Raw genomic sequence first — 27,292 nt, 5'->3', positions numbered from 1 at the left:
TCTTGGCATTTTATGATACTATGTTTCAAGTTTTTTAAACTCACAAGTTTTTAAAACTCATTTCTAGTCATTTAGAAATGTATAAATTTGATGAAGCCATTTTTCAATACAATAACTATAAGATACAACTTAGATAAATACTTTTGTTATTTTTAAGTTCCAGGATACATGTGCAGAATGTGCAGGCTTGTTATAGGTAACAGTGTGCCATGGTGGTTTGCTGCACCCATCAAACCATCACCTAGTTATTAAGCCCAGCATGCATTAGCTGTTTTTCCTGATGCTCTCCCTCCCCCAACACTGACAGGCCCCAGTGTCCATGTGTTCTCATTGTTCAGCTTCCCACTTGTAAGTGAGAACATGCAGTGTTTGGTTTTCTGTTCTTGTGTTAGTTTACTGAGGATAATGGCTTCCAGCTCCATCCATCTCCCTGCAAAGGACATGATCTCACAGCCTACAGAGTATTCCATGGTGTACATGTATCACATTTTCTTTATCCAGTCTATCAGCGATTGACATTTGGATTGATTCCATGTCTTTGCTATTGTGAATAGTGCTGCAATGAACATATGCTTCCATGTATCTTTATAACAGAATTATTTATATTCCTTTGGGTATATACCCAGTAATGGGATTGCTGGGTCAAATGATATTTCTGGTTCTAGGTCTTTGAGGAATCACCACACCGTCTTCCACAAAATACTTCCACAAATGCATTCCTATTTCTCCACAGCCTCACCAGCATCTGTTGTTTCCTGACTTTTTAATAACTGCCATCTGACTGGCGTGAGATGGTATATCACTGTGGTTTTGATTTGCATTTCTCTAATCATCAGTGATGTTGAGCTTTTTTTCCATGTTTGTTGGCTGCAATGAATGTCTTCTTTTGAGAATTGTCTGTTCATGTCCTTTGCCCACTTTTTGAAGGGATTGTTTTTTTCTTCTAAATTTGTTTATGTTCCTTGTAGATTGTGGATATTAGGCCTTTGTCAGATGGCTAGATTGCAAAAATTTTCTCCATTCTATAGGTTGTCTGCTCACTCTGATGATAGTTTTTTTTGCTGTGCAGAGGCTCTTTAGTTTAATTAGATCCTATTTGTCAATTGTTGCTTTTGCTGCAATTGCTTTTGACGTTTTCATCATAAAATCTTTGCCCGTGCCTATGTCCTGAATGGTATTGCCTAGATTTTCTTCTAGGGTTTTTATAGTTGTGGGTTTTACATTTAAGTCTTTAATCCATCTTGAGTTAATTTTTGTATGAGGTGTAAGGAAGGTGCCCAGTTTCAATTTTCTGCATATGGCTAGCCAGTTTTCCCAGCACCATTTATTAAATAGAGAATCCTCTCCCCATTGCTTGTTTTTGTGTCAGGTTTGTCAAAGATCAGATGGTTGTAGGTGTGTGGTCTTATTTCTGAGATCACTATTCTGTTCCATTGGTCTATGTGTCTGTTTTTGTACCAGTACCATGCTGTTTTGGTTACTGTAGCCTTGTAGTATAGTTTGAACTCAGGTAGCAGAGAAATACTTTTAACAATTTGACCAAATATTCCCTAATAAATTTGACTGTGTTTAAAAGGAAATGGAGTTTGTAAGAATGCATGAAGTAGCTTAGAGGAAAAAAAAAAAATCAGAAACTTATTGCTTTGCAGAATTCAAATAGTTTCTATATGAATACATGGAAGAATGTCAAATAGGTTTAGTCCACACCTGTATGTTTACACATTTTTCATTTTATTTTATACAATTAGTTACTTCAAAACCTGGCCTGCTCTTTTCTTTTTCATTTGTGCCCTCAAATGCAACTTATTATTTAAAATATCAAATACCAGCAAAAGTTTCTTAAAATACAGAAAACAAGTGATTTATGTCTTTATTATTGAAAATAGTAAATATCTTCCTGCTTACACTATATTTACAATTATCTAAAATGTTAGGTCTCATGTTTTTTAATCCAATCTTCTAACGCCAATTTCAGTTATGAAAAAAATACATAATATTAAAAACAGCATTCATTCTCCAGTACTCACTACCAAAAAATCAAAAACGGAAAGATAGTTGGCTAATCCGTGGGACTGGGGAGGGGGGCTGACTTTATAACCTAAATGTAAAGGCATAGATACAAGGGGGAAAATGTGTAGAGATTGTTTGCCTTAATTTGATTTTTAAAATTCCTTTTTATTTTCTTTTTATATCCTACTAAAGTCCTTTTAAGACATCTAGATGAAAGTATTCAATACACTCAGCTTAGATAACACTATTATCCATAGCTGTAACAGTGCCTCTGACTAGACTTTTTAAACACACCCTTGCCATTCATTCCCTTCCCTCCCCTTCCACCCCCTCACTCCTACCAAAAGTAACCATTTAAAGAATTTTTAAGGTCACAGGAAAGAAAAAAGTGGGGAAGAGAGAATCTACAATTTAAATTTCATTGGGATTGACTTCCTTAAGCTACTACCACAATTTTTCTATTTTGCTTAACATACATGGAATATTCTATTTCCTACAATTTTTCTTATAACAAATATTGTGATCTACTTAAATTCAGAATCACGAAACATTAAACACTGATAAAATACACTCCATCTTGGGAATATCAACAAAATTCAGGTAGGAATAAAGGTGAATAAATTGTTAAAATTCTGGCCAAGCAAGGTGGCTCACACCTATAATCCCAGCACTTTGGGAGGCCGAGAGGAGAAGATCGCTTGAGCCCAGGAGTTCAAGACCAGCCTGGGCTAAATAGCAAGACACAGATCTAAAAAAATGCAAAAATTAGGGCCGGGCGCAGTGGCTCACGCCTGTAATCCCAGCACTTTGGGAGGCTGCAGTGGGCGGATCACGAGGTCAGGAGTTCGAGACCAGCCTGACCAACATGGTGAAACCCTGTCTCTACTAAAAATACAAAAATTAGCTGGGCATGGTGGTGTGCACCTGTAATCCCAGCTACTTAGGAGGCTGAGGCAGGAGAATCACTTGAACCCAGCAGGCGGAGGTTGCTGGGAATGGCTGAGATCGTGCCACTGCATTCTCCATCTCAAAGAAAAAAAAAAAAAAAAAATTAGCCAGGTATGATGGTGCATGCCTGCGGTCCCAGCTACTCAGGAGCCTAAGGTGCGAGGATCCTTGAGCCCAGGACGAGGCTGCAGTGAGCCATGATCATGTCACTGCACTCCAGCCTGGGTGACACAGTGAGATCCTGTTGCAAAAATAAATAAAATAAAATAAACGTTACTATTTTATCTCTTCTCATCCATTTATTTATTAGCTATTATGTGTGTGTGTGCTTTCAAGTTTCCCCAACTAATAAATATACTGCCTCAACCATTTTACTAGTGGTTCAATACATACAAAATATTCACTTAAAAGGTACTAGGCTCTTCATTAAGAGTAAATTATTAAACTGGAAAAAAAGATACTTTTTTTTTTTTTTTTTTTTTGAGACAGAGTCTCATCCGTCACCCAGGCTAGAGGGCAATGGTGCAATCTCGGCTCACTGCAACCTCCACCTCCTGGGTTCAAGTGATTCTCTTGCCTCAGCCTCCCAAGTAGCTGGAATTACAAGCATGCGCCACCACTCCTGGCTAATTTTTTGTATATGTAGTAGAGAAGGGGTTTCGCCATGTTGGCCAGGCTCAACTCGAATTCCCGACTTCAGGTGATCCACCCGCCTCAGTCTTCCAAAGTGCAGGGATTACAGGAGTGAGCCACCATGCCCAGCCTAAAAGATGTCTTAAAAAGTAATAATTTGGTATCCCCTTTTCAGGTTCACAAAAAAAACTTCAAAAGCTATGCTTCCTTTTTTTAACTTTGAATTTTTAAATAATTTTAGAGTAAAAAAGGTTATTTAAAAAACGGGTCAAAGATCCCCTGTTTACCCAGCTTCCCGTAATTTAGCATCTACAATAATTGTGGTAAAGTTATCTAAATATTCAAATTTCATCAGTCATCCTAATAATGTTTTTTTGTTGTTGTTCTTGTCCAGGATCAATTCCAGAATCCTACATTACATTTGGTTATCACATGTCCTTAGTTTCTTCCAATGTGTGGCAGTTCTTGGGCATTTCTTCATCTTCCACACCCTCAATACTTTCAGGGAATACTGGCCAGTTATTTTGTAAAATGTCCTTAAATTTGAGTCTATCTGATATTTGCTCCACTTAGGTTGATTTTTAGTTAAGAATACCAGAGATATCTCTTTCTCAATACATTATATCAGCAGACACATGATGTTGACATGTCTTATTACTAATGATATTAACTTTGATGATCTGGTTAATTTGATATTACCAGTTTTCTTCACTATTAAGTATTGATTTTTTCCTTTATAGTTAATTAATTTTGTGGGGGAGATATTTTGAGACTATGCAAATATCCTGATGATACTGATCTATGATGATATTTTTCATCATACCTTCACCCACTAATTTTGGCATCCATTGATGATTCCTGCCTGTAACAATTGCTACTATGGTGTTTACCTGCTGGTGATTTTCTATTTCCATCATTCCTTCATTTTCTAATTAGAATTCTATAACAAAGAGGTGTCTCTTCTCCTGCTTTTATTTATTTATTCAACTACTTACTTATATCAGTATGGGCTCATGGATACTTTCTTCCCTAGGGGTTATAGTCCGTTACTGTCATGATTTGCTTCTCAAACTGTCCCAAATTTGGCCATTGGGACTCCCTTTTGTATATACAGTCATTAGACTTCCTTCTGATTTTATTTTTTAAATTTCAGTTGGAGAATATGAAGGCTAAGGCTAACCTTACTACTTCCATTATGACAAAAAAAAAATATGAAAAGGAAATACATATATCAAAATCTCCCAAATGTGGTATGCTATCACAACTCTTGCTCATCCAAGACCTTATGCTCTTTGCTCTATATTTATACGCATTATCACAGAACTTTCTCTTCATTGTCACTATTAAACCCATCTCACCTTTTACCACCAACCCCCCAATCCTCAGACATTATTGGTATTTTAGAAGCACAAGGCCAAACTATTCACTAACAACAGAAATTCATTTTAACCAAAAGGTAATAAGCCTTAATGATGCTGCGCAGGGGGAGGGGAGTCAATCTCCAAAGGCCATATACTGTACGATTCCAATTAATAACATTTTTGAAATGACAAAGTTATAGAAATGGAACAGATTAGTGATCCCCAGAGGTGGGGTGGGGGAGTGACTGTGGCTATAAAAGTCCAACAAGAACCATTTGTGGTGCTGGAATTGCTTTGTTTCTTGATTGCACTGATGTCAATATCCTGATTGTGATATTACACTACAGTTTTATAAGCTATTACTAATGGGAGAAACCGGTTAAAGGGTACACACAGGATCTCTCCCCATTATTTCCTACAATTGTATGTGAATCTACATTTATCTTAAGCTAAAAAGTTTAAGAAAGATAATGATTCCACTGAAGACTGGTCATTAAAAAATAAAATACATTTTAAAAGATAATGAGTCTTAACTCTAGAATGAATTTTCAGGAGAAATCAGATAATCACCATAGTACCATAAACCTCTCAGATCCACTGATTGTTGGCTTCTAAGAAAGTTACTATCAGACCTCCCCAGAATGACCTAATGATTAATTCTCGTTCAGTGTTCTCTACCTTTCTTCTCCGTTTTTATGTTGGGTGAAAACAAATACCATGAGCTAGAGAAGAACAGAAAGGTGCCAAGGGGCAGATATTACACTGTGTCGGTTTGTCAACTAAACTGCAAATGGCAGCGAAATGTACATTTTTATTCACTTATTTTAATTCTAAAGCTCCACAGTCCATTATTTTCAACCTGTGGAAGGCAAGCAATGAGAAACAACAGCCAGCGGAAGACAAGTTTAGTTCCAATGACAAAACAAAGTTCCTCTTCAAGTCACTGACACTAACTCTCCCAAAACACTTCTTATACATAATGGATATGAAAGCACAGAAGAGGTGGAGCCAGGACAACTTAAAATCCAAGGACCAAGTTGTTTCCTCCACAAAAACCAATAAACCCACCACCACCGCACCAAGGGTAAATTCTTTCACAGACTGGAGGGAAAAAGGAAACAGCTGAATACAGCAAGAAACACACGCTTCTTAAAATTCAGTAGGTAGTGGCGATTTTGCATGTGAAAACAAGGGTGGTTTTTTTTTTTCCTGAAAAGATAAAAATTCTAGAAGTCAAAATAATGCGGCAATAAACTTATTTTTCTTCCTACAATGACTGACATAATCACTTGAACATAGTTTTAACTATATAAATACATAAATATATATTCTAGCTCTGATAAAGTTACAAGATCAATTATATGTACTACAGATTGCTTCTCCTAATTTACCAACATCAATTAATTTATCTAAACAAAAAATGGTATAAAGGAGTAAAAAACTGTTCTCAAAGACTCAATGCCATCATTACATTGTGTCGTCACAAGTCAATTTTGAGTTTTTATATAAATAAGTTCATTTTTGCCTGCTTAAATTCAGAAGTTCTCCAACTCTTCCAAATGATGAAATGCTTGGAAATCACATTATCATTACAGATTAAGAAATATATTTAGTACAACTACATGATGGTGTTTTGGGTTTTGTTTTTTTGAGATGGGGTTTCGCTCTTGTTACCCAGGCTGGAGTGCAATGGCACAATCTCGGCTCACTGCAACCTCTGCCTCCAGGGTTCAAGTGATTCTCCTGTCTCAGTCTCCCCGAGTAGCTGGGAATACAGGCACCTGGCTAATTTTTTGTATTTTTAGTAGAGATAGGGTTTCACTATGTTGGCCAGGCTGGTGTTGAACTCCTGACCTCAAGTGATCCACCCGCCTCAGCCTCCTAAAGTGCTAGGATTAGAGGCATGAGCCACAGCACCTGGCCTAGTTTAACTATATGATTAACCAGATATTTCAAACTAGATTCCCAGAATGTACATGTAGTAGAAGACATTAATGTTTAAGGGAAAAAAATAGTGTGAGAAACCTTAAAAATCAAGAAAACTATATTCAACAACTTGGATTTTTTCCTATGAACTATGAAATATCCATGATCATCCTGTGCCATAATTAGGCTGCACTGGTATGATTCAAACACAGTTTTACTATAATGAGATATAAAACGTGCACACATTCAGCCAGCCTGTCCAGCAGATTCTACTCCTGCAATATTTCTAATCCATCACCACTGTGTAATTCAGCTTCCCAGCCATCTCAAGCCAGGAAAATGAACATCAGTCTTTAACAGAACTCTTGGTCTCCTCACTACCCTCACAAACCATGAGCTTCTAAATGCCAGTAATCATTCCTTACCCCCTCCTCAGTCCCCTGGTTCCCAGCACACTGAACAAAGAGCTGCACATGTTGTCTTACCAGGTGTGCTACTCATATGACAGTAGGTCAATCTGGAATACCACTTCAGGTCCACTAGTTCACTGGTAGGTGAATTCTTACTCCCCTACAACTCAATACATATTCATCTAGGAAGTCCACATCCTCTTCAGTGCTGTCATAGGATAGCTGTTACAGCACTCATGAATTACAATCTACTTATAACAATAGATTAGTGAGTTACTTGAGGGACACACATTTCATCTTTGAATTCCCAAGGCCTGTTAAATAATAGAAATTGTATAAAATATGCTATAAAGAGGACTAACATTAGGCATTACACTAAATAATGTACTTTCACTTAATCCACAAAACCTCAGACAGCTATTATCCATTTTACCGACGAGGAAATTGTTACCAAAAATGGAGTGAAGAGAAGGAATACCCCATAAAATACGGATTATCAAGGACCAACGATTTTCAGTGGTTTCCATATCTCCTAAGTCTAAATCAAATTTACCTTTCTTTTAAATAGAAACGGGGCCTTGCTATGATGCCCAGGCTGGTCTTGAACACCTGGGCTTCAAGAGATCCTCCCACCTCAGCCTCCCAAAGTGCTGGGATTACAGGTATGTGTCACCACTCCTGGCCAAAGTTACTTCCATATAAAATTTACAAAGAAGGAATACTTTTTTTCTCATTAAGTTTTCATATGAATCAAGCAAAATCAGAGTTTTTATTTCTAGAAGGTTATCATATCATTATTTCGGATAGTCCATTTATATCTGAGGCGCATCCCATTATAATTTTATGCAACTTGAATTTCAAATTATCACCAATGGACCAGGTGCAGTGGTTCACACCTGTAATCCCAGCACTTTGGGAGGCTGAAGCAGGAGGATCACTTCTGCCCAGGACTTCATGACCAGTCTAGGCAACAAAGCGAGACCCTCATCTCTACAAAAAATTTTTTAAATTAGCCAGGCACAGTGACATAAGCCTGTAGACCCAGTTACTCGAGGCTGACGCAGGAGGATCATTTGAGTCTGGGAGATAGAGGCTGCAGTGAGCCCGGGCAACAAAGCAAGACCCTATTCCAAATATATATATCTCGCTCTCTTACCAAACATTGTCTATCGCCATACCATCCTGAAAGCACCCCATCTCATCAAATATCACCAAAGAAAGACCTTATTGTGATTCTTTAAATCATCCAAAATCTACCCAAATAAGTTTTTTTCAGGTCCAAAGTAAAATTTAAATGAAAAAATGCAGTGAATTTTCTTATGACGCAAACAATATTTTCTTTCAAAACTGAGCTTTAGAATAACACTGCATCCTTCCTTTCTTAAAAACAGTGAGATTAAATGATAGTGATAAGAAGTTATAACTAGTTTTGTTTTTATTTTATGTTCCTTCTTGAGAGAAAAACCAAGGTGGTCATCTTCTCCTTAAAAAAAAAAAAAAAAAAAAAAAGAAAGTTCTGTGAAATTCCAGCATTTGGGAATGACTGCGACTGCATTAAACGAGTATCTGCATAAAGCACTGCAGTTGGAGAGATTTTCATTTTGAACCTTAGCCAAGATATGCAAAGCTAATTATGGAACTGTTAATTACTAAATGTTTAAAGGGTTATTTGAAGGCGACTAAGGTTCTATCAATATTGCAAGGAATGTTAATATTTTTATCATAAATTTAATTCCTCATTTGTTCAAAGTCACATACCAATAGAGTTTGAAGCTAATATTTCAGTTATAAATGTATTTCTGTACCAAGAAATTCAAATGTCATTGTTATGAAATCTAACTGCTTGTGGCCAATCATTTCTTTATGAGACATGCTTTTTAAATGGCATACAGATAGTTTAGTTGTATTCTATGAACAAAAACTATTTAAGAAACAAATATTACTAGAGCCCCAAAATGGGCTAAAATATAATGAGAGTATAAGCTGACAAATATGAGTCTGCTTATAAGCAATGGTAAAAAGAAACTCAAATGGAAAATTTAACTATAACAGACACAATTCTTCCATTAGATTTGAAAGTTAAATATTTGTCAGAGATATTCTTTCATGCCGTTTCTCATAATTTACAGTTCTCTGAGCTAAAGTTACTTTTTTCAGCCCTCTCATTATGACTCACGATGAATTCTACCAAGTACTTAGCAATGAATTAAGTCCTGTATTCTTTATAACACATCAATGAGTTAGTACTTATATCAAAAGTTGTAATAGCCCAAAAAAAAGTAAGATTATTAAATAGGAGGAGATGGGGTGGGGGTTATTTTACACATAACATTTTTAACAGTAACTTTTACAACTAGCTAAAAATGCATTACATTAGGTCTTTAAAGAGAAGAAACAGTTTTGCAATAGATGTTTCACCTGAAAAACTGAAAATGGTATGCATTTAGACACTCTACAGAAGCAATTTCAAAGGGCCTGAACTCAACAAGTTAACAAAATGGTTTAGAAAAACCATTTTATTGTATAAGCCTTGGGGGATAAAAGCTGTTTGTAATTTATTTACATCTTTTACTTCACCAAATTGCCTTGGTGACCAAGCTTCTCATTTAAGTGATTAAAGACATAAACCCAAATGGTTAAATAAAGCAATTACTTAAGAGTCCTGTTTTTCAACAGAGGTGCACTGAAAAATATCAGTAGAATGTTTTCAGGGCTCATTATTTTCAAGGAAGTTTGTTATTTAGAATACAATGCCCCATTGACTAGAACTCAGCCAGGTTTCCAGACACACAATATGGGACACACATTGGATTAGAGTTTTCCTCCTCCTCTCACAATATCAGGTGAAATAGTGATAGTCTCTTGAAACTGAGTATGTATAACCTGGCTAAAACTTAGATGATAATTTTTTTGGTATTTCTCCTTACTATTCCCCCTCTCTAAAGATATAACTGAAATGCGTTTCCATTGTGCAGGTGGACATGAAAAGCTCCCAATTTATGAAAGTTCCTGGTACTCTTCCCACCCCTAGATTCTCTTCTAGCCAACTTCTTAGGTTACACCAATGACATCAGGATTACTTCTAGGCAATTGATTGACCTAAATACAAAACTATGTTTTCACGGAGCTTGGGAAATGAATGAGGCCAGCAAGCCTTTAAAAAACAAACAGAAATGAACAGCAGGAAAAAAAATTACATATGTTCCCCAATTCTTTTCCTTTTGCCTATAACGAGAATCATGCAAACTCCTTTATCGAGTCTATCCTCAGAAACAGAAGGAAGCAAAACAGCAAAACTTTCCTAATTCCTGTCCTTCTGTTCATGATATCAAGCTTATTTAACATGGTTGCTTTTCTAATATTATAAAATTCGAACTCACAAACATTTATAAGACAAGGCTGTATGGAAAATCTTCCAGCGTTCCATTAACAAAGCATTCTTAACATAAAAAGTACCTTCTACAAAAACTTTTTTTTTTATAATTTTTGAGTAAATTTCAAATTTTTATAAGATTACTCCTGGCCAGTCAGGTAAAGATGGAAAACGTTCACATTTCGAACAACTTTCTCTTGAAAAGAAATAAACGTGGGGATTTGTAGTAATAACCAAACGAACATCAAAGTTAATAGGGCTGACACTTAGGAATGTTTGAAATGTTTGGTAGGTTTCCTTATGTTTACTTTTTCTATGAAGGTTTGGTAGGGCAAATGGGCTGCCTTCCGACTGTCAATAAAGCTTTCATGTCGTGGGTTAGTAGTAGCTGGCCCAGGCCAAGTTCTGTGTTGGGTCAGTTTTTACTCTATTCTACACAACTGGCAGGGGAACAGGAAAGTTTAACAGTTCATTTATTTGGCACAGTGGGCCCACAGTCACAGTGGAGGTTTTGTCTCTTCTAGTCTTGTTTGGTGACCCGCCCCCCAACCTGATAGTAGGTTTTAGTCATTGTTATTCTTCTAACTAATCAACCAAATGCACCACTTCCCCCTTCTCTAATTTCCACCAAAGGCCTCTGACATCATTTTCTGACCAGCCTTGCTAGGTTCTAATATTCTCAGCATGCGTAATTTCACTTGGCACTTAAAACAATATTCTTGAAAGGAAATGAAATATCTCACTGAAATCTGCTTTTCCTTCACACTGAGACAGGGAATGTGCATTTTCAGATGCAGAAGACTGATCCAACTGACCATTTTAAAACAAATAGATGAGAAAGGCATAGGAAAGGCAGCGTGTGCAACACCAAGAGAAGAACAAGATCAATGCAGGACATTCCTTGTTGGGATAAAAATAGTCTTTTAGAATGGGAACTTTCTGGAGACAGATAAATTTTCTTGTAAAATTACAGCCATCTTCCACACGTTTGATAAATATGTGCAATCTATCCATGATCTCCCAGATGTGACAGCTCCATCAAGGAAAATGAAAAATCAAAAACGGTACCAGGTGCCACTCTTGGGGCTTGTCCAAAGGCAGCCAGGGGAAGAGTCTATTTTATTATGCTCTCCCCACAGTAAATAATAATCAACATCAGAGAAGGAGAGCATTTGGATTTGAACAGATGGCATCCAACATCTAACAAGCGAAGCAACACTTTCAAGCATTAGATCCTAAATGTCTGATGGTCCCAAGGATCAGGAGGGCTTATTTGTCTTAAGAGGGTTGGCAGGCAGGATCTCCTATAGTCACCATCCCAACGCTTAGGAATATGCGTCATTATCCAGTCAGCAACTAAAGGCGGAGAAAATTAAGCTACCACATTTTTATAAAATTTCCCCCTCTCCAGTAAAACTTGAGACAACCAAATCCAACCCTATCAGCCGCTATAAGTAAGAGAAGAGTAAGCCTGCAGGTAAACAAATGTATAAAGGTTAACAAACTTATCTAATTTTGACAAGGTTGTGCAACACCAAAAGAATCCGCAGGGTGCCCTTCCCGAGGGTGTACTGGAACATGCCTGCTCTGCAGCTATGTCTGCAATTTAAACTAAAAGCACTAACTTAGCTATTCAACTTTTTTTCCCTTCAATTGAAAGCAGTATCCTTTAAAAAATAAAAGCAAAACAGTAAACATACAAACACCTCAATGTTTTACTGAAGGTCAGCATGGATTTGTCTTTAGCACAACCGTACAGGTTTCCTCCTATACCTTTCAAACACCACTGAACTCCAAGGGTCACTTGCAAGGGGAGGAACGGATCTGGAGTCAGAGGGAGCAAGAGTCGCTGCCCGAGGGGAGATGAGACTCCATCCCCTGAGATTCAGAGGCCACGGAGGGCGGCTGGGGAGAGGGAAAGCTAGAGAATTCACACATTCACACACATACACACACACACACACACTCTCTCTCTCTCTCTCTCTGTCTCTCCCTCTCTCTCTCTCTCTCTCTCTCTCTCTCTCTCTCTCGGCTGGGCAACATAGTGGGAAAGGTCAGTCATGGGGAGGGAAGAGTTAAGGAGCAGAATGTCAAGGAGAGGGAAAAATAAAACCAGGATAGGCGGAGTAAAAGACTCGGAGGTGGGATGCCTTTGGAAGTTGGGGGTCCTGATGCAAGAAGTGGGGTGCTCGGGGCGAACTGTGTCAGGAAGGAGGTGGGGGGACAGGGGAAGACGCAGCCTGCGAGGCAGAAATCCGGCCAAGGGCAGGCGGCCGCCGCGTTCTCACCTGGGGGGTCCTTTCGGGGGGATTCTTCATCACCGCCTGGCGGAAGCTGTTATCTACGTAGGACGCCATCTCCCCTCTGGGAGCGGGCCGGGGCCGCTCCGCACCCTGGCCGGCCTCCTCCCGGCCCAGCGCCGCTGCTGCCTCCGCCCTGCGCGCTGCGCCCGCCCGCCCGCCCGCGACTAATCAGCCAAACCGCGGCGGCGGCGGCGCGGGGCCCGCGGGGGGGCGGCTCGGCTGGGCCCGGCGGCCGAGAGCGCGGTACAGGCGCGAGGGGCTGGACGCAGCCGGGAGGGTCGCGGCGCCCCTAGGCTGCCGTGCGATGCGGCCCGCAGGCGGAACTCCCCTTCCTCCTCCTCCTCCTCTTCCTCGCCGCTCCGCCGGCTTCCTCCGGCCCTGGCTCGACACGCCTCCCCGGCTCCACTCGGGGGACAGTGGCGGCTCCTCCTGGCCCCAGCGGGCCCGAGTTATTTTTAGGGAGGTACGAGTGGCAGTGGGGAGGGCTGTGGGCAGGCGGAGCCTCCTCCCCCACGGCGCTGAGGGTCGCCCCCTCCTCTCAGGGGCTTGCGCAGCCGCCGCCCAGGGGTCTCCGAGAATCACTTGGATCTTCCGCGTCCCCAGTCCTCGGGCGCCTCGGCCGCCGGTCGGGAGGACGGACCAGGTGGGTCTGGCTCAGGTCCGGGCGCTGCGAAGCCCGATCGCCTCGGCCGCCGCTCCTGGTCTCTGTCTACTGGGCTCGGCCGTCCCTCCCGACTGCTGCTGCATCCCCTCGGGCCGCCCAGCCGCCGCCGCCGCCGCCTCTGCTGCTCGGGCCGCCGCTGTGGGCTCCGCCGCCGCCGCCTCCCCCCATCAGCGCGCCCGGAGCGGAGCTGCCCCGGCGCCGGCGCCGCCGCGGCCAGAGCACCCGGCCCGGGCTGCAGCCCTCCGGCCCAGTCGCTCTCGGCAACTTTGTTCCTCGTCTGCGCGGGGCGGAGGAGGGGGAAGAGGGGGCCGCGGACAGCCCGGGTTCGGACTCCCGGCGCGGGCGTCCGAGGGCCGAAAGCCGAGAGCCGCGCACAGCCCCCTCGGAGAGAGTGTTTGGGAAGCGGCGATTCCCCTCCTCTTCCTCCGCCTCTTCCTCCTCCTGCGCCTTCTCCGGCCGCCGGAGCCGCTCCTCAGGGAGGAAGCGGCCTCTGGGGCTTGTTGCTTTGTGCTGCAACCATGGTGAGGAATGAGTGACAGCGTGGGGGCGAGTCGGCGGCCGCCGCATCATCGGGGGGCGGGGCAGCCCCGTCGCGCCGGGTCCCGCCTCCCCGCTCCCCGCCCGCCAGCGGCCGCGCCCTCGCGTCTGAGCGGCACCTTCGGCGGCGCCCAGGTGAGCAGCGCTCTGGCCGCAAGTGGGTCGCGGAGCCCTCGGCCGGGCTGTCGGGTCCCGCGCGCGGCCTGGACCCGAAGAGGGGGCGCAAGTCCTGGTGCCCCGGAGAGAAGCGCAGGGCTTTCCTCACGCAGTGTCCCCCACTGTCTCACGCCGCGCCCCCTCCCCACACCCGACGCGCCCTACTAGGAGACCCAGCCGCGTCGGGTCGCTGCTCCCCGCCCGCTCCTGGCGCCACGCCGCCGCCCAGGGGCTGAAAGCTAACCTTGGGCAAAAGACCGGCCCACCAGCCCGGGCTGTACTGGGCATTCTTTTTGAGCCCAAGAGTTGCGTCCGAGTTGCTTCTGTGGCGATAAATCCTCTTAGGATTTATTTTGCTTATTTGTAATTTGCTGCACCCTCCCCTGCTTTCCAAGCCCACTCTGGCACCTCAGACAGTAAAATGACCACGAAATTAGGCAGAGAGGTTTCAACACCAGACCCACTACCACCCCTAGACCAACAAACACTCCAGATTTAAAGTTGATCACTCCTTAGCGACAGACCAGGATGGCAAGTTCTGTGACATAATCAGAAACATTTATTGGTAGGTCTGGCTTTGCCTTGGACAGAACAAGCCTCCTCCTCTAGATGCTCAAATTTCCAAACCGGACCCACATGGTGCAGAAACAATACCTCGTCCTTCAAGATGTCACCGCTCCTGCTGATTCCCTCAGCTCCCCCCCACTCCTTGCCCCGGCCACGTAGAGGTGTGTTAAGGTCAGCCCAAGCATCGGGGACCACTCTGCTGTTCTGGTCCCAGGGATTTATTTTTGTTTGCCCCCACCCCCCACAAGTTCTTATTTTGATATCTATAGACACAATGAGTTTTATGTATGAGCTACTGCGTTGAACTTTTCAAACATGATTTTCAACATCTAGTTTAAACACTTGGAATAGATTGTCAGCTAACATTTTGGGGTTCCTTAAGTCACCTGTGTGCACTAAACAGCTTGTGTGACTTCCTAGCAAAGGGACTGTCCCTGCCCAACCTTGTGAAAGGGAATCTGAGTTACAAATTGTATCTGTAGACCTTTTTATATTACTCTTGCTGGAACTGCTTCTCTATATTTCTCTTTCACCTCTTAGTTGAGCGCCAACATCAAATTCTCTATGACATAGGCCACTACCTTGAAAGCAAAGGAACATGAATAAGTGCCAATACAGCTCTGAAAAAAGGAGAGAGGCAGATAAAAGAATTCAAACCCAATGAAGTGAAAAAATATAACTGACATCTCCACCTGGTGTCTAATAGACATCTCAGAATTCACATGTGCAAACCAGGCTCCAGATCTCCTGTCTCAGACACCCACAGCCTTCCCCATCCTCTGTTAATCACATCTACACCATTCTCACTTCCTGGGTGAAAACGTTGACTTCCTTGACTCCTTTCTTTCTGTTATACCTCAAAAGTGTCAGTAAAAATCGTCAGCTCAACCTCCAGAATGCCATATCTGAACTCTAACCTTTATCTACCACTTCTACTGCCATGACCCTGGTGCAATCCAGCATCATGTCTGGCCAGCACTTTGTCATAACCACCCACCTGGTCCCCCTCTTTCTAACCTTGCTTGCCATACAGTTCATTTCCAACACAGCAGCCAAAGTGTGAATTCTTTTCACTCCTTCTCAAATCATTCCTCTGCTTAGCTCCTCATACCACTCAAGGTAAAAGCCAAAGTCTTACCATGGCCTGAATATCCTATGGACCTTTATCTCTCTGACCTCTTCTACTATTCTGTTCCCAAGCACATTAGCCTCCATGTTGTTTCTGAAACAGCAAATTCCAGTCTCATGACCTTTCCATCTGCTGTTCCCTCTACTGCCTGGATTATCTCTCCCCCTCTCCCCACCCCACTTGCACCCACAAAAACAAAAAACAAAAAGAAAAATGCACACACACAACAACCAAAATATAGAATGTTGTTCCTCATTGTCATCATATCTTCATTTGAATGTCACCTTCCCTGTAACTCCATACACTCTGGTTATCTTCGTCGCTTTACTTACCACCTAACATACTGTATATTGTACAGGTGCTTGCCCACTTAGGATGGGGTTACATCCTGAGAAACCATTGTAAGTCGCAAATATTGTAAGTCAGAAATGCATTTAATACCCTGATAAACCCATTATAAAGTGGAAAAATCGAAAGTCAATTTATTGACCATCGTAAATTGAGAACCATCTATACTTATTTATTTTATTTATTGTTTTATCCCTCCACTGTAATGTAAGCTTCTAAGTCAGGGATGTTTGTCCCTTTTATTTACTGCTATATCCTCAACACAAGACAGGCAGCCAACAAATAGGTATTAAATGGATACATGAAGTAGTTCATGTTACCTTGTATTTGTATGAGATTTTTACATACATTATCTCACTTGTGTCCCTGGTTGCGGGGAGAAAACTGGGAGAGGAAACTTAACCTCTCTGAGCCTGTTTTCTGTTTTATAAAAAGAGAGTACAAATTGAATAGTCTGGCCAGGCAAAGTGGCTTACACCTGTAATCCCAGCACTTTGGGAGGCTGAACCAGGAGGATAGCTTGAGGCCAGGAGTTCAAGACCAGCCTGGTCAACATAGCAAGACCACTGGCTGCACAAAAACTTAAAAAAAAAAAAGGAGCGGGGCATGGTGGGGTGCACTTGCAGTCCTAGCTACTCAGGAGGCTGAGGTGGGAGGTTATCTTGAGCCCCGGAGTTCAAGGTTGCAGTGAGCTATGATCACACCATGGCACTCCAGCCTGGGTAACAGAGCAAGACCCTGTCACAAAAAAAGAAAAAGTTGCATACCCTGAAGATTTGTGACGATCCAAGATAATACATGCAAAGTGCCTTGCATAGTGGTTTAACAACAGTATATACTCAATAAATGGTAGTTATATTTAAGATTATTCTCATCATTGCAACTCTCTGAGGCTAGTGGGACAGTGTTATCTTATTTACAGATGAAGAACTGACACTAAAATAGGCTACATGACTTGTCCTAGTTCCCGGACTGCCTTTAACTTTAGAAAGTTCTGGAGCCAGCTAACAAATGGGGATCCATATACTCTATCATAAATACTAAAAGCTACAAATTAACTGGGGGAGTACTGAGTACTACTGCAGGGAGTACTGGTATCTGGTCTGCAACTGGAATCCCCTTTTCTTTCCATCTCAGCTTCATCCTATCCCATGGAAAGGCTCACACATAAGAGGACAACCCAGCTAGTGCGGTGGCTCATGCCTGTACTAATTCCAGTACTTTGGGAGGCCGAGGTGGGCAGATCGCGAGGTCAGGAGTTCCAGACCAGCCTGACCAATATGGTGAAACCCTGTCTCCACTAAAAATACAAGAATTAGCCTGGCGTGGTGGCGTGTGCCTATAGTCCCAGTTATTCAGGAGGCTGAGGCAGAAAATTTGCTTTTACCTGGGAGGTGGAGGTTGCTTGCAGTTAGCTGAGATCAAGCCACTGCACTCCAGCCTGGGTGACAGAGTGAGACTCCATCTCAAAAAAAAAAAAAAAAGGACAAGGACAACCCAGCCTACACATCTAAGTGATATCACACCCCTCAAAAAAGCCACCCCTTGGTGATTCCTCGGGCCAGGGGCCAGCCTTGGAAGATGAGGTCTGGAAGTGGCAAGGCAGTCAGGACCAGGGTTCCAGGTGCTCAGAGAGTATGGAACTCCTTGCCCCATGGGGAGGGGGGATGCTAGAGGGGACCTTCTACACCAGACAGGAATGCCTCTCTGCCAGATCTCACAGCAAGAGTTAGGAATTCCAGTTGCACACCCAAGTCTTTTTTCTCTGTGTGCTCTACTGTAACACTGAATTACATCAATCACCTCAGGTAAGACATAATAGTATGTCTTATCCACCAACAAAATGACTAACTCACTGTCAACTTCTAAGCTATCATTTAACTTCAATTAAAGCTAATTTTCACACTATGTATAACCTACTTATCTACATATGTCAATAATGCATATCACCACTCAGCATCTAGGACATCAGATACTTGGCATGCATTGCTGTTTTATTAACATTTGAGCACCAGTAATGTGCTAGGCACAACCTGGAAGACAGAATTAGACAAAGATCTGCCACTCTGCCAATTAGTCTAAACCAAACTGTGTCAGCAAACCATAATCAAAGTAAGCTATCTATTATGCTGCCTCATAAAGGCAAGTGTAAAAATGAGAGTTTCTTTGTTCTGTTTCTACTACCATCATATTATCTAGAAAATCACTGGGGGATGGGAAGAGAGACAGAGCACTGGGTTTTAAGTTCAGAAATACTTTTCAAGTTCTGGCCTTAATACCATTCTACTTGTAACTTAAAAAGCTTTGATCTTTCCAACTGTAAAATCTAATAGATCCCTAAATATATCGTGTGGGTTAGGCATTTAGGGTCATCTTTAAAAGTGAATTAAAATATTTGTTTTAAATTCCCGTGAGTCCAGCTATACCCAAGATTAGGGAGATTTTACATACATAGTCATTTTGTTTTAAAAACACGTCAAGCCCTTACTGCTCCATCAATAAATATTTATTGTGTGCTTTGCTGTGTGCCAGGTACTGATCTCCATGCCTGGAATACCAGTAATGAATAAGACAAATATGGCTCCTTCCCTGGCCTCCTGGGAGCTTGTTCCATGTGCCAAGCATTGGTTTAATTTACTCACCTCTCCTATAAGGAGGGTAAGGATAATAGAAAGGATCCAGGAAACTGCCCTCCTCTGCTAAGAGCTTCCTCTCCTTACTGCTTTCTCCAGTGGTTACAACCCTCTCAAGGCAAGATTTCCAGCTGAGAGAAGTTGGATTCTGTTAAAGACATTCCTCACACCACTCCCCTTTCCCTAGAAACATTTTTTTAAGCGTTGGTTTGCAATTACTTTTACCCTTGTAGTCAAGTCAGTAAGAATCTCAGGAGGGTGGAAGGGTGTTGTTTACACATTGTGTCATTCTCAGTGAGCACACTCCACTAGGAAATATTGTGTTCACCTACAAGTAGCATTCCAGAGAGTCCCTGATGGGGAGTACAATTACAGACATTCAGGGAGAGATACAGTGAGTTTATAGGATGGATCTCATGATGAAATGTATCAGAAGCACAGGTAGAGTATCAGACTATTCATTTTGATTGTACAGGAATCATAACATTCAGAGTTGAGGATGCTGCCGCAGAACTACACTAACATAGAGGTCAGGTAGATGTTTAGATATTTTGGAACTGATTCAGAAAAAGGAAACCATCTCCCCCTGATTTATCAATATTATTACCTAGGTTCTGTCTGGACATAATATTAAATAAAAATAAAAAATATACACACTAACGAAACTGTTCTATTCAGTTACACTATTGTATCCCTCACACTGACATAACTACTTTCTTTCATTGATTTGTTTGCACTTGAAATATAGGGCCAGTGGCAGAGAACAACCTTTGTATTTCCCTTATTGTGAGAAAGCTGATGCTGACATTTCTAAAAGGAAATGCATTGTTAAACTTCTAATCTACCATCAATTCCTTCTATTGTTATGTAGTATTTGGCATTTATTTTTATAAATTGGCCCATGGGATGATGGTCCAGAATCATTTGGCCAGCTTTAAGGGGAGTAAAGGAGTTTAGGTAAGAGATACAGATTAAGTTTTTTGTTTTTTTTTAAGCCTAAAAGCAGGTAAAATTAAGAACTTTATTTTAAACTCTAACAATATAAATGCACTACATAATCCAAGAGTATTTAATGCATAGATTTTTTTAGAGCTTACACTAGATATCATGAATGCTCAAGTTAGTAAATCAAAGAGAAAAAAACCTCCCATTTCCAACATGCAAAGTTAACCCATTGAGATAATTCTGTCATAATAGAGCATTGTACAAGATGGTATCTGGGTTTTTCCCGTTCTGTTAAGGTGATTATACACAACTGAAATTACATCCATAAGCAAACCGGTGTGCAGTGCAGAATCTGTAAAAGTGTTCCAAAAAAGTAAAACAGCTACACTTGGTGCCAACTCTGTTCTCCAGGTAGTATTCAAGGGTAAATGTAAGTGTGCTATAGTACAGCTGTCGACCATAGCAGTGTCAAAATCAGAAAAGGTCATTTGAGAAAACAAAACAAAACAGTATTCTTGGCCAGCTATGATTTTTTAAATGCCAATACTAATAATCATTCTGAAGTCATGATTATTTAATATTTGGTAAACCCAAGACTAGTGCTAGGCACCATATGTACATAAACAAAGACAAAGTGCTTATGTGTTGAGCTTACAAATCTAAATTAGGCAAAGGAAGTGAAGGGCAAACAAGGGCATGGGAAACACACACTGAGGACCTGTTTAGAAAATGAGGCTTTTTTTTAATTGTTATTTTATTATTATTATTATTGTTATTTTTTGAGATGGAGTCTCGCTCTGTCGCCAGGCTGGAGTGCAGTGGCGCGATCTCGGCTCACTGCAACCTCTGGCTCCTGGGTTCAAGTGATTTTCCTGCCTCAGCCTCCTGAGTAGCTGGGACTACAGGCGCACACCACCACGCCCAGCTAATTTTTGTATTTTTAGTAGAGACAGGGCTTCACCATGTTGGCCAGGATGGTCTCGATCTCTTGACTTCATGATCCGCCTGCCTCAGCCTCCCAAAGTACTAGGATTACAGGCATGAGCCACCGCGCCCAGCCAGATTGTTATTTTTGTTTTAGCTATCAGAAAGTCCGTTATCTTGCAAAAAAAAAAAAAATTAAGGAGGAAAATCAAAGGAGAAAAGCATATTGTCTTTTTGGGAGTTTAAAGAGGAAGGCTTAAATATGAAATGGTGACATGTATCAAGTTAGAGACCTGAAGGAAGAAAGCACAAGTAAATGGCAAAAAGAGAAACTGTCAGCATTGGATGGAATACAATACAGGGACTAAGTGAAGATAATGTATGAGACATGGCTCAGAAGACAGAACTGTCCAAGCCCTTGAGAGACATATCACAATTGGTCCTGGCCATCTTCTGTGTTTTTCTTCTTTTCTTTTTTTGAGACGGAGTCTCGCTCTGTCACCCAGGCTGGAGTGCAGTGGCGCTATCTCAGCTCACTGCAAGCTCCGCCTCCCCGGTTCACGCCATTCTCCTGCCTCAGCCTCCCGACTAGCTGGGACTACAGGCACCTGCCACCATGCCCAGGTATTTTTTGTATTTTTAGTAGAGATGGGGTTTCACCATGTTAGCCAGGATGGTCTCGATCTCCTGATATCGAGATCTGCCCGCCTCGGCCTCCCAAAGTGCTGGGATTACAGGCGTGAGCCACCAGGCCCGGCCTGTGTTTTACTTATCACATAACATAAATAGAACCAGTGATAAGTTCTGGTATGGCATTTAAAACAGAGTTCAGTTTCACCTTATGCTTATCTCACCTAAAAGGAATGAGTTTGTGTCATCATAGCCTTTCTGTAAGAATCCAGTGATAATTAAACCAAGTCACAAACCAATAAAAGCCCATAATACTCCACACCAACCTGGCCAGGTGCCTCATAGATGGGTCTATTGACACAAAAGAAATAGCATAGAAGTGATTGAAGTAACAGAATTTTATCATATTGCTACAGGGAGGGAAATGTGATCTGCGTTATCAATGGAGTCAATAAATGCAGCTTTATAAGGTTATAATAGAATATATGAAGTAAGTGATATAATGGAAAAACCTTAGGACTGATATAAGATAGCCCTGAATTTGAAAGGTTATTGTGATATACATTAGCTCTGTGCCCTTGAGTAAAGAATTTAACTTCTCTGAGCCTAAATTTCCACCCTTGTAAAATGTGATTAGAAATATCTTCCTTGCAGTCAGGTGGGTGGCTCACGCCTGTAATCCCAGCACTTTGGGAGGCCAAGGCAGCCAGATCACTTGAACTCAAGGGTTTGAGACCAGCCTGGCCAACACGGTGAAACCTCGTCTCTAGAAAAAAAAATGCAGGCCGGGCGCGGTGGCTCACGCCTGTAATCCCAGCACTTTGGGAGGCCAAGGCAGCCAGATCACTTGAACTCAAGGGTTTGAGACCAGCCTGGCCAACACGGTGAAACCTCGTCTCTAGAAAAAAAAATGCAGGCCGGGCGCGGTGGCTCACGCCTGTAATCCCAGCACTTTGGGAGGCCAAGGCGGGTGGATCTTGAGGTCAGGAGATCGAGACCATCCTGGCTAACAAGGTGAAACCCCGTCTCTACTAAAAATACAAAAAATTAGCCGGGCGCGGTGGCGGGCGCCTATAGTCCCAGCTACTCGGGAGGCTGAGGCAGGAGAATGGCGTGAACCCGGGAAGCGGAGCTTGCAGTGAGCCGAGATTGCGCCACTGCAGTCCGCAGTCCGGCCTGGGCGACAGAGCGAGACTCCGTCTCCAAAAAAAAAAAAAAAAAAAAAAAAAAAGAAAAAAAATGCAAAAATTAGCTGGGCGTGGTGGCACACACCTGTACTCCCAGCTGAGGTGGGAGAATCACGTGAACCCGGAGGCAAATGTTGCAGTGAGCCCACATCATGCCACTGCCCTTCAGCCTGGGTGACAGAGACATACTCTGTCTCAACAACAACAAAAAGAAATATTTTCCTTGATAGATTGATATGACAATGATTCAAAGCAGGATTAATAAAAAAAATTATGGCTGGTCATTGTGGCTCACGCCTGTAGTCCCAGCCCTTTGGGAGGCCAAGGTGGGTGAATCACTTGAGGTCAAGAGTTGAAGACCAGCCTGGCCAACATGGTGAAACCCCGTCTCTACTAAAAGTACAATAATTAGCTGGGCGTGGTTGCAGGCGCCTGTAATCCCAGCTACTCAGGGGGCTGAGGCAGGAGAATCACTTGAACCCAGGAGGCAGAGATTGCAGTGAGCCAAGATTGCGCCACTGCACTCCAGCCTGGGCGACAAGATCGAAACTCAGTCTCAAAAAAATAAAATTAAATTAATAAAAAATAAAAAATCTTTTTCCTCTAACCCTTCTCCCAAAAAGAAATTGCATTAGTTCTAGACTATTTATATGGCCCTTCCAGTTTCTATCAAAGAACTTAGGCTAAAAATTTATCAACTTGTCTAATAAACTTTACAGAATTTTGAACTTAGAAAACTAAAATAAGCTTTAATTGATTTGTTGTAAACAACCCAGAGCCTCAAATATAAATAATTTCCATTAACTTCTCTGAGCCTAAATTTCCACCCTTGTAAAATGTGGTTAGAAATATCTTCCTTGTGGTCAGGTGGGTGGCTCACGCCTGTAATCCCAGCACTTTGGGAGGCCAAGGCAGCCAGATCAGTGATTCCTAGACGCAGGTGATCAGCATCTTTGCAATGCTAAGAGTACTGGCACAGGTAGACAGAGCTGGCAGTCCCCAGAAATCTTCTAGTATCCCACAAGACAGACCAGGAGCTGTGTTGCAGACATGTCAAACCGGGGCTCTGGAGGCATCTCTGCCTTTATTGAATAAATGAAAATTAGAATTTACTCTTACAAATATTTAATCTGTTACCAGGTTTATGTCCATTTTATAAAGCATGAGGTAGTTGTCATCTATTAATTTGTGTTATTGTCCCATTTTTTAAATTATTTATTTCAAATATTGATATGTACAAATGTAAATATAGCACTCAAAAGGCTAACTCTAAGAAGTGTATAATAAAGTCGAATTAGAGAGATCCAATTTAATTATATTCAAAAGTAATAGTCACGATGCTGCTTGTAACATTTGCAATTCCCAGGTTTTCAAAAGATTTTAAAATCAAATCAATCTGTGCCATACCCTGGCCCACCACAGGACAAAGAATGATGCTTCAGAAGCTTCTCATTACTCTGTCCAACATTAGCTATAGCATTACAGTCTGATAAACCAAGAGGAATCTGCAAAATGACCTGAGGCATTTCTTCTACCAATTTACCTTTTTATTTTATTTTATTTAAACTTCTGGGATACATGTGAAGGACATGCAGGTTTGTTACATAGGTAAACGTGTGCCATGATAGTTTGCTATACCTATCAACCCATCACCTAGGTGTTAAGCCCCACATACGTTAGCTATTTATCCTGATGCTCTCCCTTCCCTCCTATTCCCTGCCAGGCCCTGGTATGTGTTGTTCCCCTCCCTGTGTCCATGTGTTCTCATTGTTCACCTCCCACTTATGAGTGAGAATATGTGGCATTTGGTTTTCTGTTCCTGTATTAGTTTGCTGAGGATAATGGCTTCCAGCTCCATCCATCTCCCTGCAAAGGACATGATCTCCTTCCTTTTTATGGCTCCATAGTATTCCATGGTATATGTTTACCACGTTTTCTTTATCCAGTCTATCATTGATGGGCATTTGAGTTGATTCCGTGTCTTTGCTATTGTGAATAGTGCTGGAGTGAACATATGCATGCATGTGTCTTTATAATAGAATTCTTTATATTTCTTTAGGTATATACCCAATAATGGGATTGCTGGGTCAAATGCTATTTCTGGTTCTAGATCTTTGAGGAATCACCACAACATCTTCCACAATGATTGAACTAATTAACATTCCCGCCAACAGAGTAAAAGCATTCCTATTTCTCCACAGCCTTGCCTGCATCTGTTGTTTCTTGACTTTTTAATCATCACCATTCTGATTGGTGTAGCTAGTATCTCATTGTGGTTTTGATTTACATTTCTCTAATCATCAGTGATGTCGAGCCTTTTTAAAATATGTTTGCTGGCCGCATAAATGTCTTCTTTTGAGAAGTGTCTGTTCACCTGTTCTTTGCCCACTTTTTGATGTTTTTTTTTTTTCTTGTACATTTGTTTAAGTTCCTTGTAGATTCTGGATATTAGGCCTTTGTCAGATGGATAGATGGCAAAATCTGTTTTCTCCCATTCTGTAGGTTGTCTGCTCACTCTGATGATAGTCTCTTGCTGTGCAGAAGCTCTTTACTTTAATTAGATTCCATTTGTGAATTGTTGCTTTTGTTGCAGTTGCTTTTGGGGTTTTAGTCATGAAGTCTTTGCCCATGCCTATGTCCTGAATGGTATTGCGTAGGTTTTCTTCTAGGGTTTTTATGGTTTTAGGTTTTACACTTAAGTCTTTAATCCATCGTGAGTTAATTTTTGTATAAGGTATAAGGAAGGGGTGCAGCTTCAATTTTTTGCATATCGCTAGCCAGTTTCCCCAGCACCATTTATTAAATAGGGAATCCTCTCCTGGTTGCTTGTTTTTGTCAGGTTTGATGAAGATCAGATGGTTGTAGATGTGTGGTCTTATTTCTGAGATCTCTATCCTGTTCCATTGGTCTATGTGTCTGTTTTTGTACCAGTACCATGCTGTTTTGGTTACTGTAGCCTTGTAGTATAGTTTGAAGTCAGGTAGCATGATGCCTCCAGCTTTGTTCTTTTTGCTTAGGATTGTTTTGGCTGTATGGACTCTTTCTTGGTCCCATATGAATTTTAAAGTTTTTTCTAATTCTGTGAAGAATGTCAGTGTCTACTGATTTATCTTGATGGTCATTTTTAAAATACTTGCAAGACACATTTTATGTAGTCTAACACAACTTCCATCAAGAACTATGGAAACTTGTGAAGACAAAGCCACCTAAGAATTTCTGGGAGGAATGGTAGCAGGAGTCTTGGCACTGAGTCTCAGACCGATTGGCTTTTTCCTGACAATGTGCTACAAGAGATCTTGAAGGAGTACAGGCACTTTTGCCTGATTAGAGAATCTATACTTTCCGTTACTATCTCAGTAGCACAGTTAGCTGTGGGCCTCTATCCTGGTACCTGCCAATATTAGAGAGTGGTCCCCTTTCTGAGGAAGTCATTCCTTTGGCTTTTCTTGTAAACACAGTGAGAATGAAATTGGAGAAATAATAACTTTAGTAAAGAGTTTCAATTCTCCCCTTTTCCCCAACAAAGTGCCAAACAATGTCCAGACCATAGAGCTGTCATTGTCCAATTTCTGTCCTTTCCCTAAAGTGAGATTATTTTGAAGAACTCTGGTCTCATGCAGAGCTGGAGACAGACTAAACCATGGGGATAAAATCTGTGAGCAAAGCTAGGCAATCATTGGGGAAGATGAGGGATAGGAAGGAAAAATATGAATTCTGAGTCCATGGTAATACCTAATTACGTTTCTCATACTTCATTTGGGAGATGTTTGAAACACATATCAAAAATAGCAAGCAGGGGGTGTAGGAGATAAAGAGAGAGGTTGGTTAATGGTTATAAACATACAGTTAGGGACAGGCGCGGTGGCTCATGCCTGTAATCCCAACACTTTGGGAGGCTGAAGCAAGTGGATGGCTTGAATGCAGGAGTCTGAGACCGGCCTGGCCAACATGGTGAAACCCCATCTGTATCAAAAAATATAAAAATTAACCAAATTTTTGTATTTAATTAACATAACAATTAATTTATGTACTTAATTAAATTAATTATTTTATTAATTCAAATATGCATTTAATTAGCATAATTAAAGTAATTTTATTAACAACAATTTTTTAAAGGTCTGGTGGTGTGGATCTACAGTCCCAGCTACTCGGTAGGCTGGCATGGGAGGGTCACCTGAGCCCAGAAGGTGGAGGTTGCAGTGGGCTGAGATGGCATCACTGCACTCCACTGCTCTCCAGCCTGTGTGACAGAGAGAGACTCTGTTTCAAAACAAATAAATAACAAATGTTAGACATAGAGAGACCCTGTTTCAAAACAAATAAATAACATACAGTTAGAAGAAATAAGTTCTAGTGTTTGATGGCATGGTAAGTTGACTACAGTTAACAACAATTTATTATATATTTCAAAATATCTAGAAGATTTGAAATATTCCTGACACAAAGAAACAATGAATGTTTGAGGTGATGAATATCCTACTCTGATTTATTGTTATTCATTGAATGGATGTATCAAAATATCACATGTATCCCATATATATACAATAATTATGTATTAATTTTTTTAAAAATGCAAGCAGGCATGGTTTCTAAATGAAGAGCTTTTAG

General features: G+C 41.5%; 1 protein-coding gene across 2 annotated transcripts in view, besides 8 other annotated features; it reads right to left on the bottom strand.

Annotated features, from left to right (window-relative positions):
- Positions 1–14,102, bottom strand: part of RAPGEF2 (Rap guanine nucleotide exchange factor 2) — a 257,095-nt gene extending 242,993 nt beyond the window's left edge. For both annotated transcript variants that reach the window (NM_001351724.5, NM_001394067.2), the window contains exon 1: positions 12,950–14,102. In NM_001351724.5, coding sequence (NP_001338653.1) covers positions 12,950–13,018 — 69 coding nt within the window. In that variant the 5' untranslated portion in view covers positions 13,019–14,102. The remainder of the gene's footprint in view (positions 1–12,949) is intronic.
- Positions 12,963–13,382: a silencer, noted in NCBI's record as "silent region_15777". NCBI's record gives its function as "represses an Ori minimal core promoter by ATAC-STARR-seq in GM12878 lymphoblastoid cells {active_cell/tissue: GM12878}" and the evidence as "EXISTENCE:reporter gene assay evidence [ECO:0000049][PMID:35858748]".
- Positions 13,350–13,644: a silencer, noted in NCBI's record as "tiled region #13777; HepG2 Repressive non-DNase unmatched - State 1:Tss". NCBI's record gives its function as "represses a minimal TATA promoter and a strong SV40 promoter by Sharpr-MPRA in HepG2 cells {active_cell/tissue: HepG2}" and the evidence as "EXISTENCE:reporter gene assay evidence [ECO:0000049][PMID:27701403]".
- Positions 13,350–13,682: a biological region, named in NCBI's record as "Sharpr-MPRA regulatory region 13777".
- Positions 13,393–13,682: a silencer, noted in NCBI's record as "silent region_15776". NCBI's record gives its function as "represses an Ori minimal core promoter by ATAC-STARR-seq in GM12878 lymphoblastoid cells {active_cell/tissue: GM12878}" and the evidence as "EXISTENCE:reporter gene assay evidence [ECO:0000049][PMID:35858748]".
- Positions 13,723–13,942: a silencer, noted in NCBI's record as "silent region_15775". NCBI's record gives its function as "represses an Ori minimal core promoter by ATAC-STARR-seq in GM12878 lymphoblastoid cells {active_cell/tissue: GM12878}" and the evidence as "EXISTENCE:reporter gene assay evidence [ECO:0000049][PMID:35858748]".
- Positions 14,073–14,612: a silencer, noted in NCBI's record as "silent region_15774". NCBI's record gives its function as "represses an Ori minimal core promoter by ATAC-STARR-seq in GM12878 lymphoblastoid cells {active_cell/tissue: GM12878}" and the evidence as "EXISTENCE:reporter gene assay evidence [ECO:0000049][PMID:35858748]".
- Positions 14,073–14,952: a biological region, named in NCBI's record as "H3K27ac hESC enhancer GRCh37_chr4:160023381-160024072".
- Positions 14,261–14,952: an enhancer, noted in NCBI's record as "H3K27ac hESC enhancer chr4:160023381-160024072 (GRCh37/hg19 assembly coordinates)". NCBI's record gives its function as "activates a minimal SCP1, AML or CMV promoter by ChIP-STARR-seq in naive H9 embryonic stem cells {active_cell/tissue: H9 hESC(naive)}" and the evidence as "EXISTENCE:reporter gene assay evidence [ECO:0000049][PMID:30033119]".

The sequence above is a fragment of the Homo sapiens genome, chromosome 4 (genome assembly GCF_000001405.40).
Source record: "Homo sapiens chromosome 4, GRCh38.p14 Primary Assembly".
Taxonomy (NCBI): Eukaryota; Metazoa; Chordata; class Mammalia; order Primates; family Hominidae; genus Homo; species Homo sapiens.
The sequence above is the reverse complement of the archived record's forward strand: the minus strand, read 5'-3'. Positions and strand labels throughout refer to the sequence as shown.